The 23,351-nt window shown below is 35.1% G+C and overlaps 1 protein-coding gene across 4 annotated transcripts in view; it reads right to left on the bottom strand.

Moving 5' to 3' along the window:
- Window positions 1-23,351, bottom strand: part of GALNTL6 (polypeptide N-acetylgalactosaminyltransferase like 6) — a 1,228,156-nt gene that overhangs the window by 682,931 nt on the left and 521,874 nt on the right. For all 4 annotated transcript variants that reach the window (NM_001034845.3, XM_017008243.3, XM_017008244.3 and 1 more), the window contains one exon: window positions 9,940-10,106. In NM_001034845.3, coding sequence (NP_001030017.2) covers window positions 9,940-10,106 — 167 coding nt within the window. The remainder of the gene's footprint in view (window positions 1-9,939; window positions 10,107-23,351) is intronic.

Here is a 23,351-nt window from a genome sequence, read left to right as displayed (position 1 = left end):
ATCCAATCTTTTGGCTTCCCTGGGCCACACTGGAAGAAAAATTGTCTTGGGCCACACATAAAATACACTAACACTAATAATAGCTGATGAGTTAAAAACAAAACAAAACAAAAATTGCAAAAAAAAATCTCATAATGTTTTAAGAAACTCTACGAATTTGTGTTGGGTCATATTCAAAGCCAGCCTGGGCCGCACGCGGCCTGCAGGCCATGGGTTGGACCAACTTGGTTTAGCCCTTCAAGCATGAACTTACGCAAAGCAGTAATGAGTAACCTGCTGTCTTTTCTCTATATTGGGGGACTTATTTTTCCTACCCTTTCTAGTTTGGTGATACCTTTTCTTGAAATATTTTTCTTAATAGTGAAATCATACCTGGTTTCTGTAATCCAGCTTCATATCCAGTTCTTTGCAAGGCCTCAAGGGCTGTAAGTGGCAGAGCTGGAACTTGAATTCAAGACTCTCTGTCTCCAATGCTGAGGCTCTTAACCACTCACTATATTTCTACTTATCTCATGAGTCTATGGTTTTATAATACTCAGTATTGTAAAATAAATAAATAGACAGATAAATGGACAAATAAAAGGAAAATCTTTTTTTCATAGAGACTTTCATTTATTTTCTAAGAAGCAGAGTTTCAACTTGGCAAAACCAGACGAAAACATGGACCCAATCAAAAAAAGAATTGCTTAAATTTTATTTCAAACTCAAAATGTGTCTCCACTAAGTTGGATATGGACTTAATAATTTTGCAGAAGTATTATATGTAAAAGTCGAAGCTGTCAAGTGATAGAGCTAGAGTTTATTCAGGATATAAAATTAAATTTTCTTTCGTCATTGCTCCACTAGCCTCTCAGTTGCTAGCATTAAGCAGTTCTTTACAGAACTACAATATTGCAGTCAGGTTTTTTTGTGTTGTGAGATGGCCACAAGTTTACAAAGCATCATATATATATGAATTCCGTGTGTGTGTGTGTGTGTGTGTGTGTGTGTGTGTATATATCTATATATATATACATATATTCTCCATATAGTCTTCCCAATCTACGTTTTGAGAGGCCAGGCAGAAAAAAGATGAGAAAATAAAGGATGTGTATTTAATTAGTCTCTAATCCAATGCTGGACATTTGCCCAGTAACTTCCCATGCCTCCTCTACCCTTAATCCAGCCTCTCTCTCTTCTAGAATGACCCTTATCTTCTGGAGACATTCGCACCAGCATGGCCCTGTGAAATCTCAAATGTGCCTTGGTTTGGGTAAAGGAAAGCAGCCTTGCTAGGCTGCCTAACACTTTTTCCAGGATAAAGACAGAATCAGATGTCCCACAAGGGGCCAGCCCAAAATCCATTTAAGTACCTCAATAAATTCTACGGCACATCAGTCTGTGAAGCTATATAAAACATATTTAACTCTGTTTTATGACCTATTTTACTACTTTTGAGAGCCTTTCCAAACTTTAGAATCACTGTTTTCTCCAGGAGGAAGGCGCTGATTGGCCCCCTGCAGTCCTGGAAGGCCATTATGGAGACTGGAATTGGTGTGCTAAAGTCATTATGATTCTCATGAATCCTCTATTTCAATACTTGGGTATACACATAGTGAAATGATGGTTTCTGTTATTGTTGTGATCCTAAGGAAAAATGGGTAATAAATTAGATTCAATTATCTAGAATGTCTATATAATTGTGGTACATTTTATTAAATTAATGATAGTTATCAGAATTGTTTCAGTTTCTCAGAATAAAACATCTGAGAAAACTACAAAGAAAGGAACCTTGGATACCTAACTGTGAAAACTGTACATTTTAAATTAAACTAGCATTTATCAAAGCATATAAAATTGACCCACTGTGTGACTTAGGACTTCATCTTTATCAGTTGCTGTTTACTCATTTATAAATATTACAAATGTACCATGTCACCTACAAATCCCTCATCTCAAAGATCCTATTATTCTAATATGAATTTATTCCTCAGTTGACATAAAACATTTAATTCTTATTAGGGGAGAATTTTGTTAAAACACATTTCATAAACATGGATGAATTTGATGTTCAAAACTTGTCAGCTTAAGAAAAATCTTGAATGCTGAGAGATTGATATTTTTATTTTATTGAGTAAGTGTTATAATTCAGGATAAAAGAGAAAATGTTTGTGAAGTTTTCTTTTTTCCATTGTGTAGATGCAATGATTTTTTTTAAATTAAGAGCAGATGGATATTTAGACATCAAAAAGAGCTGCTTGAAATACTGAACATTGCATTATTAAAGCTCACATGCTGAGGTTTGCTGACAAGAGGAATAGTCATAAAACATAACCTTTTATTTCATCAAAGAAAGTTATGCCTGCCCAAGATCTGAAGCCCAACATGCATAAAATGGTTTCACACTGGTGACATTCTATTCAAAACAGCTGTCTGAAAGAAAAATAAATGGGATTTAATCTGCCATGAAATGAATTGCACAATTTATTTTTCTTGAGGAAGTCATGCCTTTGTGACGTTGGTGAGCTGTAACAGTTTTGCTTCTAAAAGCAGTGTCTCCTTCTATGCCAAACCCATATTAATTCAGCCATGTGGAATTTTCCTACACAAAAAGCAGTTGGAAAGTCAGAGCAGCTTATCCAACACCTGATGCTTTTCTCTACCTTTAAAAGTATTAGTTTAAAACATGAGCCCAGGATAGACTTTCCATCCAGAGGTAGGTAGATTTTAAGATGCTTGGTCGTAAACATTGAAATATATGAAAACTGTCAAAGTCAACCATTAATGTCCTACAAAAAATGGAATTTCATATACTACAAACTAATGTTTGAGAAGAGAGCAAAACTGCAAAAAAGTGAAATGTGAGTTAGAAAAATGACAACTAAATGAGATTAATCATCTCTTCAAAATGAAATGCTTAAAAAATGTAAAAGCTACTCATAGGACAAATGTAAACATTTAGAAGCCCCAAATTAACTAAGTCAGAAAACTTTTCAATATAGACATTTTAAAGACAATCGAGTAATAGTATGTTTTGCTTATTTCATTCATTTAGTACTCATCATACCTTTTACAATAAAAGAAAAGAAAGCAAGCATAAGATTTTTTTCTACTGTGGAATTTGCTGTAATACTACATGTGATAACTAAGATACAACCTAATATAGGGTAGACATTGAAACTTAGGTTGTGCCTTTCCATTCCATCACTTCATTTTATCACATATTTTCCAAAATTCTTATATGCATGTTCAAATTAGCCTGCATGTATTTCATCGTAATGCCATTCTCTCAAACAACGTACATTAGAACACTTCTAACAGTTCTTTTTTGTTAAAGCTAGCTACATAAAAAATGTCTATTTGCATGGTTCAGCAAATATATCTTTGTAAATTAAATGTGAATCCTAAAATAATTAAACTGAAAATAATTTTAACTGAGATATATTATTACTTTCTTTAGAAGACAGAAGATATTATCTCCATAATAACTTTTTGCAATGTTCTGACTACCAATGCCCTCATTATAAAAGCTAATCCATAATGCAATTTATTAAGAAAAAATATATATTTCTATAGTATCTCAAAATCCTTTTTCTTAATTTACAAAATGAGCACCTGCTTAAAACAGATTTCTACTAGAATAAATAAAGTATTGTAGTAGTAAGCATGAGGCTTGTGAATGTGTGTAGCATTCCTGAACACTTGAGAGATTATTCACATTCGCACTTCAGGAGAAAAAGGAGACAATACAAAGCTACCATAAACATGAAGGCAAAGGTGAGACTCAATAAGGATATATAACTATCATTATTTTTGTCAGATAAATTCTGTTGTTTCTGAAGACATTAACATCCAGTGAGACTGAATTTTTAATTTACAAGTAAGAGGGAGAGAAATCTCAAAAGTGCTTTTCTTCTGAGACAGATTCTACTCCAAGCATATTCTGCTACTGGTGGGTAATATCCATCTTTTACGAATGCACAAAGACTTTTTATGAGTTGAGTTTTTATTTTGTAACTTCCCAAACTTTTACCCCTTTATGTTGTAGGATAATTTTCCTGACATTGATTGCACATTACTGTGGTATGTTCATACATCTGACCACAGAGAGCAATGTCGCTCAATGTCCCAGATTCCCTTACATTCACAAATGTTAAAGCAATTTGTTAACAGAGCCATTAGGACAATCTGCACATTTAACTTTTATGCAACACGATATACAAATATCAGAAAGCAGAATAGCTCCTTTCCATTCTTTGGCATATAATCTTGAATTTCTAAATATACTGTTATATTTTTAACATTTGCTTAGTTCCTGCTACTAAACAGTATTTGGTTTGATATTGTAGTTTGATTTTTTTAAACGCAATTATCCTCACCATTTTAAATACGAATATTAAATCTAAATAACTCCAAGATTTATTTAGAGTGACTAGCTCTCAATAAATCTGAGACATAAAAATTGCTTGTCTTATAATCTAGTGAAGTACCTGATGGAATACCAGCACTAAAACATTTTTGTCGACTGTCGTCTCAGAATCTTTAAATGCACTTTAGTGTTAGTATTGTATAATATAAAATAAAAAGGCACTACCATTCTTCTTCGGTTTTACAACCTTTTTCACACTGATATCTTCCAACTTCGAATAGTTGTAAAACTTGTGCTGATTGATTTGTCTGCTTATGGAAACTTTCCTTAATGTATACTTGGAGACTATTTGTGTAAAATAGAAATTGAATTCAAGACTTGACATCATCATTTGTGAAATCATTAAAAATATCTCTGCTATTTTAAAGATTTAAAAACACTTTCAGCCCTGTGAAGGGTCTAGGATTTTTTAATGGTAATGTGGATCATTATAGGAATTGCTTTGCTATTTCCACATACATATGTATGTATACATACATATTGTATATACACATATATATATATAATATTTTTTCCTTGTGAACTTGGCATAAAATCTATTGGCTGATTCCAAAGCAAAATAGATTTATAAAGTTTTGAAAGACATTATTTGTTTAACAAAAAGGGAAAATTGGCAAGGGGATGAGGTATGACAGTAAATTGGAATTAAACATCAAATGCTATAAAATGAGTTCACAAGAAAGCAAGGCAAATGTCTACAATTTTTGGAAAATGGCGATATCTACCAAGGAAATATAACAATTAACGTTACATAAAATATTGTCGATGTCCTTTACAAACTTATAAATCCAATATTAATTGCACACTAAATAGTATAAACAAACAGCAAAATTTATTTTGTAATAACATGTAAGAAACAGGAGATTTTTGAAGTTACTTATTGCACCCATATTATTCACTGAAGCTTCAACTTTTGGGACAGAGTTTTGCTCTGACACCCAGGCTAGAGTGCAGTGGCACGATCTTGGCTCACTGCAACCTCCATCTTCCAGGTTCAAGCAATTATCCTGTCTCAGCCTCCCAAAGTGCTGGGATTACAGGTGTGAGCCACTGTGCCTGGCCATTCAACCCCAATTTTAAAATGCATGACAGTGATTTTGAAACTTTAATTCCTATAGAAAGTACACATAGATCCTGTTGAAATGCAGATTCTGATTCATCTGGTGAGGACTGAGAGTCTGCATTTCTAGCAAGCTTCAAGCTGCTGCTGCTGGTCCATGCACCACAATTTGGATAGTAGGAGTGCGGGCTGTCTAAGCAAAAGTAAGCTGGATTTCTTGAAAGTTGTTGGCATTGGGAGGATAGTTTCAAGTCTGTTTTTCCTTCTAAATAGTACATGGAGAATAACAGATCTTTCTGAAACTCAAATATTCAACTACTTCCCTTTTCTGTCCAGGAACTTTGAAACAAGCAGGAGCAGAAATGAGTGAGTGTGCGCCTGTGTGCCTCTGTTTGTGTGTGCATACTCGGGTATACAGCAGTGCCTCCATACTTGCATTAAGGAAAGTGTGTCAGCAACTCTCCTGCGACTATCCTCAATTTAGACTTGCATTCATCTAAGCATGCAAAGTTCAGGGAACTGTCAAGTTCAAATATACCCTATCTCTGAGGTTAAGCCCCAGCCCATTTCACACATTTCAACATTTTCCATGTGGATGCCGTTAAGGTTGCCTGGAATTTGGAGATAAGCCCAGGATTAGTCCTGCTTTAAAGTCACCATGAAGCCTTGTTATAGGCCTCAAGTTAAGTTGTTAAATGTATTTCTCAGAGCTTACTGGAAAAAAAGAAAATAGCCACATTCACTAACTTTGGTAAGCTTCAGATAGCAAAACACAGTGGTGGTTGTTGAAAACTTACCTGCAGGCCTTTACCTTCATGTTTTATAGATGGTGGACTTATGTTCTGAGGCTAAAATGACATTCTGTTACCAAGCTTGCTTTAGGAAAATGTCTAAACTGAGAACTGCAAGATGGAATATGCACTTTTTTTAAAGCATTTTGAGAACTAGGTCAATCTTATTTAAGCAGATTTTTCTAAATCACTTGGTAATAGTTAGCATTATTCTGTGATTATCTAATATTTTAGTATTTTACTTTATTGATATGAAACCCACTATTACAGAATTTAACAATTACTATATACTTATATTTGTTGTAAATATGCATTCTAAGTAATCAGCAAGTGGCTCATGCTAATGACATGTCTAAAATATTGGCTTTCTTGTATTTTTGTTCATGTATAGCTGTTCTATTGACCTGGAGGATGTAAAATATAAGGGAGTAATATTTGATTAAGTCTTGTTAAAGTTTAGTGCTTTTGGCCAAAGGATCTTGTAGAGTATCTGAAAAAGTTAATAGTGCAAAGGTGGTAAATAGTGCAAATACTGAACAGAAATGAAATTGGGATGTATTTCTAAAAGTAAATTTAAAGTGTAAAACAAACAAAAAAACTTCCTAAAGGAATCCAACAGAATTCCTATATCTTCCTGTATTTTCAAATTTATCTATCCTACTTAATCTGATTTTTAAAGAGTTGGTGAAAAGAACTCTACACACTATAGGGTTGTAGCTTTGGGGAATTTTCTAAGAAAAGTATAAGTTAATTATAGCTTTTAACAGCACAGCTACAGATGCATCAGAATAAAAAGGAGTAGAAAAAGTTTTTCTCTCTTAGAGGCCCTGTAAACAAGTGATGTCTAGGGGTATCTTCCTTTTCTTCTAATAGTAAAAACAATCTTGAAAAGGATTCTGCTAAACACTCTTCTAAGGCCATGCATATAATTTAGATAGATAACATAATCTCCTTATTGATTAAATTCTCAGAATTTTATTTTACTTCAATGCTTATAGTAGCTTATTGGCCATATTGGAGATGTTTTAAATGTTAAGGCAGTCCTAATTTCTCCAAATATAAATTACCATGATAACTCCTTAAATGGCCACTAAATGAATTCTTCTGTTGATTCTGGAGATAAATAAATCAGTAAAGAGGTAGATAGATAGATAGATAGATAGATAGATAGATAGATAGATAGATAGACAGATTATTGTGGATCACATTTGATTAAATTAAGAGAATCTCTTCTCCAGAAAGTATAGACATTTATACTATAGTAGTAGTAGAGTATTTGGTGAGTAGAAATCAATAGCTGAGAGCAATCGCTCTCCCATGAGCACACAATTCACTGAAACATCCATGGCGGCCCTCCATCATAACCTCTCCATGAAGAGTCACTATCATTCTCATTTTGATAAACAGAGACACTCAGAGAAAGTTAATTTACCAAATGTCGTACACTTAATAGTTGATGTTGGGATTCTGACCTGTGTTCATTACATTAATTATTTATAGTTCTCATAATTCAGAAAGGAGGAGTGATGCTCCTAAGTCCACTCAAGTGCTAATGTACATCAACCAATACTCTCAGATGAGATTTTCATAATCCAAAGCAAAAATTTGGAAAAAGAGTCTTTCCTAGTTTATATAATTTAAAAATTATGATGTATTATAAAAGATTATAGAAGCATTTTATCACCTATTTCTTTCAAAATTTACTTTTGCATTTGATTATAAAATTATACTTTCAATTTGATTGCTCATAAGAATAGAATATCTCAATGAAAGTTTTACCTAAGCGTTAAAGTAATGATTATCCTTAGAAATGTCCATTAGGAAATTCAAAAATCACCATTACTGTTCCTAAATTATCCATTTTCTGTTATCCCCTTTCACTAACACTAATTACATTGACAGTCTACTTTCTTCCCATCTAACATGACATACAGAAACATAGTCCACCAAAGTTGCTACTGTACCAAAGGTGACAGTGATTTGGAACCAAGAAAATGTAGGTGCCAGTATTTTCAACCTTTTCAAAGGCTTTCAACTGAAAAATACCTCTGAGAAATATTTAACAAGAAATGTTCTACAAACCATAATTTTCTGCTACCAAGTGTTTCTCACTCTATTACCCACCAGTTCAAAATTCTACTATAATAAATAGTTTACCAAGATAATCAAAAGTTACACTGGCCTATTTCTCCTAGTACCAGTCAATCACAAAGACTATTCACTTGGCAATCTGCAGCCTCAGATCTTTATCACCTTTTTCACTTTTTGAAGTCAACGTTTTATTAACACATTAAGTACCTATCTTTAGCCTGAGGTAATAATGATGACTGCTTTGAAATAGTAACCTCAATTAGAATAAAAAAGTGAATATGCCATTTACATTGTTTTTCAAAAATCTGCAAATTTCAGTTTTAGACAGTGGCTCTTATTAGGTAGTATTAAATGCATGCCTACCTATGCAACACGAGACAAAAACCTCTTTAAAATCAAACCTAAAATGACCAGGTTGATAGTTTAAAAAAAATATATATATATATATTTTTTTTTAATTTGAGACGAAGTCTCGCTCTGTCACCCAGGCTGGAGTTCAGTGGTGCGATCTCAGCTCACTGCAATCTCCGCCATATTAATAGTGTAGTGTCAAACAACCTCCTTTCTGTCATGTAAGTCCCAGTATATATAGATACTAGGCAACCTCTGAATCAGTATTTAAAAGAAGTGTATAAAGACCAGTATTTTAACTGACTACCTCTGTCAAAGAAACTTCACAATTAGCACACCAAGCAGTCTATCTTTTGCAGAATTTTTGAATACTATGAAAAAAAGATGTTTCTGTGACAAATAACATTTCCAAAACTTCAAATTAACTTCAATTAAAACTTCCAAAACTTCATTAACCCATGTGATCTCAAGTTGTATTCTCTTTTGAGACATAAGAATAATATTCAATCAAAATATTTTACTGTCATTCTTTCTAACAGATATACAGTTAAGTGTAGCTCCTTCGTGCAATAAAATATAAGGTAAATTATAAAATGCACTTTATAGTATATTCATACAATAGAAAGTAAATTACAAAATTATAAAATTTTTATAAGGTAAATATAAAATTATAAAAGTATTAAAACTTATGCTAAATTTTGTAAGATACTATTACACTAGATTGTTTCTGTTATTGTTCAGATAGATAAAATAGCTAGAATTACCAAGTAAAAATATGTACCTGTGTCCCTTATAGTTTCTAATATTTATGAAGTAACACAAGCACAGCCTGGAGTATGTGTCATACTGGTAAATAATAGAGTAGATACTTTTCAGAAATAGGAACAAATTTTATAGTTCTAACTCAAATATTTTACCATTCATATGTACTTACAATAATATATTTTACAGTGTTGGTCCTGAAGCTGAAAGTAGAATTTGAGGCATTTTGCCAACACCTAATTTGCAACAGAGATTGTAATGCAAATTTCTTACAGATTCCCAAATGAAACCTATAGCTTCTCATTAAGTTTCTTTTGCATTTGGTGAATATTTTACGAAATCACAACATAGATAAAACTTCATAATCACCTTTCAGATGGAATCAGAAAGAAGCTCCCATTGTCTTTTTTAAAAAGTCCTTAATGATTATGTGAATGGTAGCAGAATCAGATAAAATGTTATCAACTGTATCTTACCTCTCTCACTGAAGTCATCTACTAGAATGATTTCTGCTATCAGACTCCCTGGGGTTCGGTTAATTATACTGTGTATGGTCCGCAGGAGTGAAGTCCAACCTTCATTATGAAATGGGATAATGATGCTGGTGTTTGGCAGCCTTTCCAGATACATCTTATGCTTACAGCTGGAGATGAGGGAAAAGAAAATGGTGTGTCAAATACAAAACTCTTGTATATCTTATTCTGTTGTTTATTCATTATGTTATCAGACAACTGTGGAAACACGACTTAGTCTAATACTTTCCAACCAGAGTTTGTACAGCATGATTGTTATCCTGCTCCTTCACGGAATGCATTAATGATCTCCTTTCACACTCACTCTTAATGAAACAACTGTTTTATCCTCTGGTATCAGGGTTTCAAATTTGTCAGTTTTTGAAATGTTGTGCTCTTGTTGATGTACATTTTTCCTGTTGTTATATAATAGAAATAAGGATGAGTAATATGCATTAAAACTGTTTCCATGGAGCACATAATTAAGGTTTAGATGGACTTCCTGAAGATATCTAAAAATTTAACTTCTGTAATATTTATGTTTAATTAGTCAGTTTTAGTCATGGAGTGTTTCAATGGCTGGACAGTATTTAAAGCCTGAAGGGAAAAACAACTGTAGCTTCTAAACAGAATAAATTAAAATTCAATTTAAAATAACTGTTAACTGAGCACAACCACATAATAAGATTAAATTAAGATCCAAATCAAGATGTTATCATAGTCCCAGTGAAAACTCTAAAAAGAAATCTCAAGTTCATTTTTTTCATTGTTGGAACCATCTGAGAAGATGAAAAAGAAGTATTTTTAAAATTGTATTCCTTTATTCATTATTTAACCTAATAATTTATTATTTTTAACAATATTCATTAAACAAGTAAATTTTGACATATTCAGACAATGAAAAGTGTCTGAAAACCCATCAAAATTATAATGATATGGGCACAAAAATGTGTAAAAACATGAAATTCATTTTAGGATAAATGTCAAAAAATATATATAATATGACAAAGATTTGTCAGTAATTTCCATGGGAGTGTAGTAAGATAGATGTTTTGCTTATAATTCACAGATCTGGAAAATAGTGTTAATGAAATTCAGCATACCTGGTCATAATTATGCAGAGCCATTGATTCTTCTGAACAAAGTCAAAGAGCCCAACTAATTGTGCTTTGATACATCAATATTCAGAATGTTGCACCTACTTGTGAGAACCATTACACTTCACAGTGTTCTTAGAATGAAGGTGATATCCCCAATGAAGCCAATTGTTTTTTAAACATTAGGACAAGCTATTGTACATATTACTTGTCTATTAATTAAAGAGGAATTGCATTCAGAGTAATATCCTATAACCCATCAATAGGGGCCAGGCACAGTGGCTCATGGCTGCAATCCCGGCACTTTGGGAGGCCAAGGTGGGAGGATCACTTGAGTCCTGGAGTTCAAGATCAGCCTGGGCAACATAGCAAAACCCCATCTCTACCAAAAATACAAATATTAGCCAGGTATGGTGGCACACGCCTGTCATCCTAGCTACTCAGCTGGCTGAGGCAAAAGAATCGCTTGAACCCAGGAGGCAGAGATTGCAGTGAGATGAGATTGCACCACTGCACAGTCCAGCCTGGGTGACAGAGTGAGACTGTCTCAAAAAAAAAAAAAAAAAAAGAAAGAAAACAAAAGAAAAGAAAAAAATCAATAGGCTCATGACTTTTCAGAGTCATATACAATCCAATCAGAGAAAGGGTAGACAAAAAAGAATGCAAGACCAATCATGTGTGACAAAGGCTTTCTCTTTTGAAATGTTTTCAATAATTTCTATGTGCCTGAGCTCAAATTACTATCAAATTACTAGTACACATGAAATATAAAAGGATCCATTCTATTCATTCATTCATTCACTCATGTCACAGTAATTTACTGAAGGTTTGATATAGGCCAGGCTCCAAAGTTGAGATAAAACAATGAACAAAATCTAGTTCTGAACTTCAAGACATTTATATTATAATGAGAGATACAGAAAGACAAATAGTTACAATTTTAAAATGAAATGGATAGTGTAGAAGATTAATAGAGTGCTATAAGATTATTTGAGAGAGGCCCATAAGCCAATTTGGAAAATGTTGTAGAAATTCAAGTGAGAATTGAAGGTGGCCTGCAGAGGACAGGTTCAAGATCTATGTAGAAAGAGAATTCACACGACTTGGTAACTAGGAGAAGTGACTAAAGAGGACTCTTACGTTTTGGACATGGGCAACTGATCAGATGAAATACAGAATGACATAGGAGCCTGTGTGAGGGACATATTGAAGGTTTCAAATAATGAGAGCAACGATAATGAATTCAATTTTGACCATGTACTGTTGAGACGTCAAAACGACATCCAGTTGGAACGTAGCTTTCATATATCATATACACATCTATCTGTCAATTTATATGTCTATCTATATATATGTGGGTGTGTAGCTCAAGGTAAAAATCTATTTTGCTGGAGGAACAGGCTCATGAGAGATAAGCTCTAGCAGATGATGCTGGCACATCAATGTCTCCTTAGCACTCACCATTCCAGTATAAGCCAAGAGGGTCCTATTATACATCTCTGCAGATAGCAAAGTGAGTACTTTCTCTCATCTCTGCACAAAGGGCAGATCAGAAGTTCTGGGAAAAATTAATTCCCCTAGAACAAGTATCAACCAACAAATAATGGAAGTTAGAGAATAAATAGTCGTATGGTGGGATAACCCTGAGGTATGTTCCATATTGTCTCCCATAGTTTCCTAGCAGGATTACACCTCGGTTGCCCACAGTGATCAGCAGTTTGACAATGCATCTTTTACTGGCTACTTTCCCTTTTCTGTCTTCCTTTCTCACATTCCCTGAACCGCACCACTCTACATTCTGTGATTACCTCCTAAACACTATTATAGTCAAATTTTTGTTTCAGGGTTTGCTTCTAGAGGAACCTAAACTTAGACATAGGCAAATAAGTTATACCTCATTTGGTATAGTCTCTTTGGAACAGTCTCTTAAATCAATACCCTGGTCAAGATTCACTTTGATCAATGTGCTGGTCAAATAGGCAACACTCTTATTTATGTTCAGTTAGGAAGGCTGCAGTTTGTTATACTTGGAAATACTTTTAAATAAGTTTTTAAAAAACGATTATCACACATGCATTTCATTACTTCTTTCAGCTTTTGAATTATTACTGGTGCTCTACTCAGAGACATCTCTAGGCCTATGAAACACAACTATCAAGACATTACAGTGGATACATAAAAATGGTCTCATCCTAATTAGTTGATTATTAGTAGTAACATTGCCTTTTTACATTGATATCTGTAACTTATTTTTCAATTAGACTACATTATAAACTCCTTACTATTTCATGCCTGATGATTATGTATCAAATATTGGAAAGTCACACCACACTTTATAGATCAGACTAGGTTCAAATGATAGCTTTGCCATTTACTGCCTGTGTGACAATGGGCAAGTTATTTACCCTCTATAAGATTAATTTTCTCACAGAGGATAATGTGGGAGCAAAAAAAAAAAAAAACAATACCTCTTCATAATGTGCTAAGGAGAATTAATTGGGACATCTATGTAACGTACTTCATATAGCATCATATCTAATAATAGCAGGGGTTTAATAAATACTGTCATTATTACGGTCATTGTTGTTTACACTGTATTATTTCATTGTCAAATCCTCTGTGGAAGAAGACGTGGAACTAGGAAAGACAGGAACTGCAGAAGAGACAGTGAGAGACATTTAGGATACAAAGATGAATACATTTCAGTCTCTTCCCTTAAGGGTTCACAGACCAGTGAGCAGATATATAAAATGATTAGACTCAAACAAGACAAGTGACATAATAGATGGCACACAGACATTGAGAGCCTGAAGGAAGTGTGACTAACTTTGTCTGATAGAATTAAGGACGTCTTTATCAATGAGTCTGTACATTGAGAACAGATCATGAAGAATCTTGAAAATGATTCTAAGGAATTTGGATGTTAGCCTGCAGTCAACATGAAGTACTTCAAATATTGTTAATCACAAGACCGGATCGTGTTTACATATTCCTCTGGCAGCAGGGCAGACAATGTGTTGCAGATGGCAAAGAGTAGAAGCAGAAAGATTAGCCCTTGTAATAATTCTAGCAAAAAATAATGAGGGTGCAGATCTGATTTTCACTCTAAGGAAAGCCAGCTCCTTTGTAAAAGCACTTAATCTGATTGAATTTTATTCGGTCATTCTAGCACTTGAGCTGCTCCAAAGAAAAATTGAATCACTGCCAAGCTCAGGCATTGGATTCAAGAAGTTGTGATCCAGATGACTGCCCTATAGTATTACTAGAAATAGTGAAGCACATCCAGGGCTTTATTTAGGCTCTGCACCTGCATATTTTAGGTTTAATGTCAAGTCAGGTTGAGAATAAAAGTTTACAAATATGAAGATGATGTACCAATATGGAACTGACTTTAATAAGTAAAATAAAGTCAAACACAATTTGTATGCTTTTTATGGTTACAAATGCACAGCAAATTCACAAATAGAATAAGAAAATAGGGACAAACTAAAACGTGTTGAAATAGGTTTCTAGGAATATGGGTGTAATTACTGCATTTCTTATTGCTGTATTATTTTCAGATAAGCATTTGCATAAAATTACCTTGCAGTTTAGGAATGGCTCAGAGGTAAGGACATCTCTTTGTTGAGTAACAGTTTATATAAATGGATAAAAACTAATTCTTCAAATTTTAAAAGCACCAAGAAGACAAAAGAAATAGTTTAAATTATTTAAAAATTTACTTGAGAGAAATGACAAGTCGTGAAGGCATTTAAAAATCCAAAAAAAAAATCCAAATTATTTTGTAAACATTCTGCTAAGTCTTTCACAGTAATGAAACTTCAATGGCAAATTTTCTCATATTCTTCTGTTTTTCCAAAACAGAATACATAAACGTTTTCTGATTTTTTATATTGGCATTTGCTAAACTGAGAGATTTTTAAAATACAGTTCAACAGTATTGTTTAACACATACTTAACATTTATTCTTTTCATGGTTACACTAATTTATCTTTTTTATTTCATTGATTTTATTAAAATAAGTGGTTTTTTCAACAATAAAAAAGGCCACAAAATAAATTTTAATTACAAATACTTGAAATAAGTACCAGACTTATCAGTGACTTATTTTTGTCTAAAAGAGATACTTTAGTACATATGCAACAATGTCAATGTTTATATTACAGGCATTTAGGTTAATTTTCATTTGGAGATCTTAAAACTTTCATGTATTCTTCACCATCACTTAAACATTACTTCTCGCTGCCTATTGTTGTGTATTTTGTTTTGGAAAGGGTGTTACAACTCACATTTAAAAAGTTCTAACTCTGGGATTGCAGCTTTTGAGTAAAATGTTTGAATATTTCAATCTTTAGATCATTCTGTTAGCTTATTCAAAGTATGGCTTTATTTTTTGTTTTGTTTTGTTTGTTTGTTTTTTGTTTTACTTATAACAATAGTCAGGAGGTTATATGGTGGTAATGACCACCCCCAAATTTCAATGACTTAAAATAATAACTATTCCCTTTTTTGCTTCCTTTACCTGTTCAACACTAGTTGGAAGGAGGGTCTCTGCTCACTGTGCTTAGCAGAAATAGCCAACATCTTGATCACTGTCAATCATTGTGGTAGATATAAATGAGAACACTGATGGGTATCAAGCTAGTAATTAGATGATGTATCCCTAAAATGGCACATTGCTGTCTGCTTACAGCTCATTGGTCAGAACTAGTCATGCAGCCCAGGGGCCTAGAATGTGCAGTCTCATATTGTACAGAAGGAATAGAGTCAGAAACATTTGGCAAATGACACTAGCGAAATCAATCATTTTAGTCTTCTGCCTTCTTTAGAACAAAACAAGAAAAGAACATTTTACTTGTTGGACAAAATTTAATGGAAAAATGAAAGAGATTCAATTTCTTCACAGATGAAAAACAGAATATTTACAGTCCCACATCCATAGAAGCATGACAACAGAGGATATTAGAGCTGCAACCACATTTAAGAAATCATCCAGTTAAGCCCCCCATTTAATTGAGAATTGAGACAGAGTTTTAGAGAGTTAAACATAAATTATTTTACAATCTAATTGGAAAGGCATTGTACTGGGTAAAAAAGTGATACAATGATGAGGCACTGTTCCTGAACTAAGAAGTTTATAGCTTTTCTGAAAATTCAGTAATTATAGCCTACACAGGAGGTAACACGAGCAACGAATAAGAATCCAGCATTCTTCACTTTTGATTACATAATCTTTTGGAAATGTCATTCTATCATTGGCCCTTTAAGGCATCTTTATACTAATTAAATTAATTAAATTATATAAATACTATAATATTTTAAGGAGGGGTAGGCAATTACTTGATTAGCTCAAACGTTTTTGTGAGATGTATGCTCTATCCTCCATAAATATTTTTGTAGATAAACCGTTCAATAAAATGTGTGACAAAATACCCATCACAAAAAATTTATGATGAACTGTCATGTGAATAGAGGCTCTAACAGCCACTAATATTATATTATCAGGTGGCTAAAATAAGTAGAAATAGTGTCCACTATGCACAATATTCCTATATTGGTTTTGCATATTTAAATAATAATACAGATTTTTGCTATTTCTATCAAATATTATGTCTAGGTAAAATTATATTTGAGATTTCCTTTTAGTCAAATGTACTAATAAGGACCATATTTACCTTTCTACTTGATTCAACTGTATTAGTCTGTTTTCATGGTGCTGATAAAGACATACCCGAGACTAGGCAATTTATAAAAGAAAGAGGTTTAATTGGACTTACTGTTCCGTATGGTTGGGGAAGCTTCACAATCATGGAGGGAGGGAAGGAGGAGCAAGTCAATATCTTACATGGATGGCAGCAGGCAAAAGGAGAGCCTGTGCAGAGAAACTCCTGTTTTTCACACCATTAGATCTCGTGATACCCATTCACTATCACCAGAACAGCACAAGAAAGACCCACCCCCATGATTCCATCATCTCCAACCAGGTCCCTCCCCACAACACGTGGGAATTATGGGAGCTACAAGATGAGATTTGGGTGGGGACATAGAGCCAAACCATATTACCAACTAAACAACTACATTTTTTTTTTTTTTTTTTTTTTTTTTTGAGACGGAGTCTCGCTCTGTCGCCCAGGCTGGAGTGCAGTGGCGGGATCTCGGCTCACTGCAAGCTCCGCCTCCCGGGTTCACGCCATTCTCCTGCCTCAGCCTCCCAAGTAGCTGGGACTACAGGCGCCCGCCACTACGCCCGGCTAATTTTTTGTATTTTTAGTAGAGACGGGGTTTCACCGTTTTAGCCGGGATGGTCTCGATCTCCTGACCTCGTGATCCGCCCGCCTCGGCCTCCCAAAGTGCTGGGATTACAGGACAACTACATTTTTGAATATGAAACAATTATTTTCAAGGCATTGAATATCAAGCAACAAACAATAGTGGCTTTCAGAAACAGGATACAATTTCCCCTGCTTACACTCTAGCCTGAGATTCCAGGGCATGGTGAATTTAAGAGAAACACAGGCAGATCCAAATGATCTCCCTAAGATAAGAAAATGGAGCCAAGAGTCCAGGCGACCAAGGTGGCTAGAGTTTGCAAGATAGAGCACTCTAAAGGAATGAGCTGTACACAGAACTCAGGGGATCTGCAGAGTCCTCCTCACATCTTCAGCTAAGCGCTGATCAGTGCAAGCATACAAAGGAACAACCCTTATCTGGAGAATAAAACCCAAGAATGGATTAGAGGAAACAATACCTATCATTCATATAGGGTAAAAACTAATGCTTATGGAGAATTAGGTGGAGTATGGAAAGAGTTAGACGGGTTTTATCTCAGCAGGGTGGCAAATTATCCCTAGCCTAAATATAGCTCTGATCCAACTTAGCTTAAAAGCAAGATCTTATAGTATCAAACTGTTTTCACATAACTTAAATTCATTATGTAACAAAGCTCAATAATATTTATAGTAATACAAAATATTTTTCACCTTTGAAGGTAAAATCACAATGTCTGATACCAAATAAAAATTGACAACCATACACTTCAAAACTCATTTTATGAGGCCAGCGCTACCCTGATGTCAAAGATGGGCAAAGACACCACAAGAAAGAAAAACTATAGGCCAATATCTCTGATGAACATAGATGCAAGAATCCTGAGTAAAATACCAGCAAACTAACTTCAACAGAACATTAAAATGATCATACACCATAATCAAGCTGGACTTATCCCTGGGATGCAAGGGTGGTTCAATATATGAAAATTAATGAATGTGATGCACTATATTAACAAAATAAAATCATAAAACCACATGATCATCTCAATAGATGCAGAGAAAGTATTTGACGAAATAGACACATTTTTAAGTTAAAGACTCTCACAAACTAGAAATAAAAGAAAATTAATTCAACTTAATACATGCCATATATAAAAAGCCCACAGCTAATATTATATGCAATTATGAAAAATTGAAAGCTTTTCCTCTAAGATCAGGAACAAGACAAAGATACTTAATTTTGAGACTCCTATTCAACATAGGATTATCAATCCTAGCTAGAACAATTCAATATAAAAAAGAAAGTTTTGTTGTTGTTTCAAGATGGCCTCAGCCACAGAGAAACAGCAAAACAGTGCATAAAGATCAATGCTGTGAACTTTAATTCAAGAAGAAAAATGGGAATCTACTGGAATTGTGAAGGACACCCCAGATCCCAAAAAGAAGACCATGTGCAAACAGCCCCCGTGTCAGCATCTGGCTGTCAAAAGTGAGTCAAGTCTCAATACATGAGAGGGGCAGAGAGTTTTCCTTTGTGACTCACCTTTCCACTGGGGATTTGTCCAGGCCAAGGGAGAGCCCTTTGTTTCTCCCAGCTTTGGAGCTAACTTGGGGAGAGGCTTGGAGAAACTCAGAGGGAAAGACATTGGGAAAAGTTGCAGCATTTTCCCCGACTGGAGTTGAAAGCAGGATGCCATTTTTAATCCAGGAGCATACAGAGTCAGTCACTCTTCGGCAACCCAACAGTGTGACTACACAGGTATTTTAGTCTCAGGCCAGCGATTGGAGTGCTTGCTCTGGAGTTTGGTAGGAGCCTCCAGAGCCAGAATTGAGCAGGAAATGTAGAAAGTGCCCCAGGAGTAGGCACTGGAATTGTACCCTCCCCTTGCCACAGGTCTAGGGCAAGAGAAGAACTACTGTAGCCATGATTTCTCCTGGGTGAGAAGAAACCAACTTGGTGACCTGGAAACTCTGTGTGTGTGTGTGTGTGTGTGTGTGTGTGTGTGTGTGTGTGTGTGTGTGTGTGTGTGGTGTGTGTGTGTGTTTGCTGGGTGCCCCAGCCTGCTCCCCTGAGATGAAGGTACAGAGGGGTCCTCTCTACTCCATGCCCAGGCATATCTCCAGACATTCAGAGAACATGCTCACCTGGATTAACAGTCTGATCTGTCCCATCGTTCTTACGCAGAGACCACAGTGCAGCAAAGCACTCTCTGTTTTATGCCCAGGCAGATCTCCAGGCATTCAGAGCACTCACTCACCCATATCAACAGCCTGAGTGTCCACCATTTCTGTGGAGAGACCATGTGAAGTGAGGCCCTCTCCCCTCCATGCCTGGACAGATCTCCAAGCTTATAAAACATCCACTCTCCTGGATTAGGAGTTTAGGCTGCCCTCCCTCCCTGGGCAGAGAAGTTACCACTCAAGAGGTTTCCCAGCGCCAGTCGTAGGCACATTTCTTGGTGCTTGGTGGCTGCGCCCTCAATTCTCCCTTCAGGTAACCTTTAGGCAGACCTGCCTGGCTTGCCCCTGTCCATCTTGGCTCACCCCTACAGCTGAGCAAGGAGCTCAGGCCATTATGTATTCCAAGAATCAGTCCATTGTCTCAGGCAATATCTCGCAGTAAACAAGGTTCAAATATATGTACCCAGCCACATTGGCCACAGCTGGCTTTTACCCAGAAGTGATATCTACTGGCCCGGAGCTTGAACTGCATGGCCCAATATAAAACCACCCAACAGAAGTTGGGTGAAGAAACAAAGCCAAAAGACCCTATCCAACATTCTCTACAGTCATACCCCCCAGGAAGGGGGTAGAGGGAAAGAACAGAAATCAACATTATAGGGAAAGAGAGAAAAAAAATCCGATTCACACAAAAATAATTACACAAATTAGAAGTGCCAGGATCTCCAGATGAAAAGGAGCCAGCATTAGAATTTTGGGCACCAGAAAAAAAAAAATCTGAACATTGTGACAGCATGAAAGGATCACGCTCACTCTCTAGCAATATTCCCTAACCAAAATAGAAACCCCAAAATGGCAGATAAAGAATTGGATTGCAAGGAAGATGAATGATATTCAAGACAAGGTTGAAAATCAACACAAATAAACTTCCAAAGAAAGCCAATAAATGAAGGAAGAGATTAACATCTTAAAAAAATAACCAGAGCTTCTAGAATTAAAAAATTCACTTAGTGTATTTCAAAATACAGTTGAAGACTTTCATCAGTAGCCTACGCCAAACAGTAAAAGAATTTTAGAGCTCAAAGATCAGGTTTTCAAACTAACCTAGTCAAGCAAAAATCTTTTTTTTTTAAATTAGAAAATGAATTAAGTCTTCGAGAAACATGGGATTATGTAAAGCAATCAAACCTATGAATCACTGGCATTCCTGAGAGAGAAGAAGAAAAAGTAAACAACTTGGAAAGTATATTTGAGATAATAATGCAAAAATAATTCTCTAATTTTGCTAGAGAAATAGGTATCCAGATGCAAGAATCCAGAGATCACTTGTATGATACTATACAAAATAAACATCACCAGGCATATAATCACCAGACTGATCAAGGTCAACACTAGAAAAAAAAAAACAAAAAACCTTAAAGACGGGTAGAGTAAAAGGTCAGATCCTCAACAGCAACAACAAGAAAAGTCAGGTTAACAGCAACTTCCCAGTAGAAACCTTGTAAGTCAGAAGAGATTGAGGCCTATAGCCAGCACTCTTAAAAAAAAAATTAATGTACCACTAAACTAAGCTTTTTAAGCAAAAGAGAAACATTTTCCAGACATATAATCACAAAGGGAACTTATTGCCAATAGACCAACCTTATAAAAGATCCATATAGGAGTTCTTAACATAGAAACAAAATAATTACACCTGCTACCACAAACACACACTTAAGTACGTAGCCCATAGATTCTATGAAGCAACTACACAGTAGAAACTACAAAGCAACCAGTTAACTTCACAATAGAATTAAAACCTCACATATCATCATTAACCTTGAATGTACATGGTGTAACCTTGAAGGTACATGGTCCTACTTAAAAGGTACAGGGTGCCAAGCTGGATTAAAAAAAAAAATGACCCGTCCAGCAGCTGTCTTCAAGAGAACCATCTTAAATGTAAGGATACCCATAAGCTTAAAGTGAAAGGTTGGAGAAAGATCTATTACACAAATGGAAAACAAAAAAGAGCAGGGGTCACTATTCCTGTATCAGATAAAACAGACTTTAAACCAATGACAGCAAAAAAGGGAAAAAGAAGGACATTATATAATGATGATAGGGCATTGCATAATGATAAAGACTTCAATTCAACAATAATACTTAACTATTCTAAATATACGCGTACCAATGTTGGAGCACAAACATTTATAAAACACATATCTACTCCTACAAAAAGACACAGTCATACAATAATGGACGGGGTGGAGGGGTGCTGCAACACCTCACTGACAGCATTAAAGACATCTATAAGGCAGAAAACTAACAAAGAAATTCTGAACTTAAATTAACACTTGATAAACTGTACTTGATATACATCCCCAGAGTACTCCACCAATCAACCACAGAATACACATTTTTCTCGTCTGCATGCAGAACATATTCCAAGACTGGCCACATGCATTGCCATGAAGCAATTCTCAGTAAATTCAAAAAAATCAAAGCCATACCAACCATACCTTTGGACCACAGGAATAAAAATAGAAATCTAGGCTGGCATGGTGGCTCATGTCTGTAATCCCAGCACTTTGGGAGGCCGAGGTGGGCGGATCCTGAGGTCAGGAGTTTGAGACCAGCCTGACCAACATGGTGAAACCCGGTCTCTACTTAAAAAAAAAAAAAAAAATTAGCTGGGCATGGTGGCATGTGCCTGTAATCCCAGCTAGTCAGGAGGCTGAGGCAGGAGAATAGCCTTGAACCTGGCAGGTAAAGGTTGCAGTGAGCCGAGATGGAGTCACTGCACTCCAGCCTGGGCAACAGAGTGAGACTCAGTCAAAAAAAAAAAAAAACAAAACAAAACTATACCAAGAAGAGTTCTCAAAAACACCTAACTACATAGAAATTAAACAACTTGCTCCTTTTGGGTAAACAAATAAATTAAGATATAAATAAACAAAATTCTTTGAAATAAAAAATAGAGACATAATAAACCAATATCCTGAAATGCAGCAAAATCAGTGTTAAGACGAAAGTTCATAGCACTAAAGGCTTATGTCAAGAAGTTAGAATGGTCTCAAATTAACAGTGTAACATCACACATAGAGGAACTAGAAAACAAAACAAAAACAAAATAACCGTGAAGCAAGTGGAAGAAAATAAATAACTAAAATCAGAGTGGAAGTGAATAAAATTGAGACTCAGAAATTTATACAAAGGATCGCAAAACCAAAAGTTGATTATTTGAAAGGATAAACAAGATCAATAGACCATTAGCTTTATTAATAAAGAAAAAACAGAGGTTCAAATAAGCACAATTAGATACAACAAAGATGACCCTACAACTGATCTAACAGAAATACAAAAGATCCTCAGAGACTAATACGACCACATCTATACACACAAACTGGAAAACCTAGAGGAAATGGATAAATCCATGGAAACATACAAGCTCCCCAGATTGAATCAGGAAGAAATTGAAATCCTGAAAGGACCAATATCAAGTTCCAAATTTGAATTCAGCAATAAAAAACCTGTCAACCAAAAAAGCCCTGGACCAGAAGAATTCACAGCCAAATTCTACCAGATGTGCAAAGAAGAGCTGGTACCAATTCTACTAAAACTATTCCAAAAAATTGAGGAAGAGGGACCTCTCCCTAACTCATTCTACAAAGCGAGCTAGCATCACCTTGATACCTAAATCTGGCAAAGACACAATGAATAAAGACAACTACAGGCTAATATTCCTGGTGAACATAGATGCAAAGATTCTCAACAAAATGCTGGCAAACTAAATTCAGCAGTACATCAAAAAGTTAATTCACCACGATCAGTTAGGCCTTATTCCTGG

The sequence above is a fragment of the Homo sapiens genome, chromosome 4 (assembly GCF_000001405.40).
Source record: "Homo sapiens chromosome 4, GRCh38.p14 Primary Assembly".
Classification (NCBI taxonomy): domain Eukaryota; kingdom Metazoa; phylum Chordata; class Mammalia; order Primates; family Hominidae; genus Homo; species Homo sapiens.
Note: the sequence above shows the minus strand (reverse complement) of the source record. Positions and strands in the feature narration are given on the sequence as shown.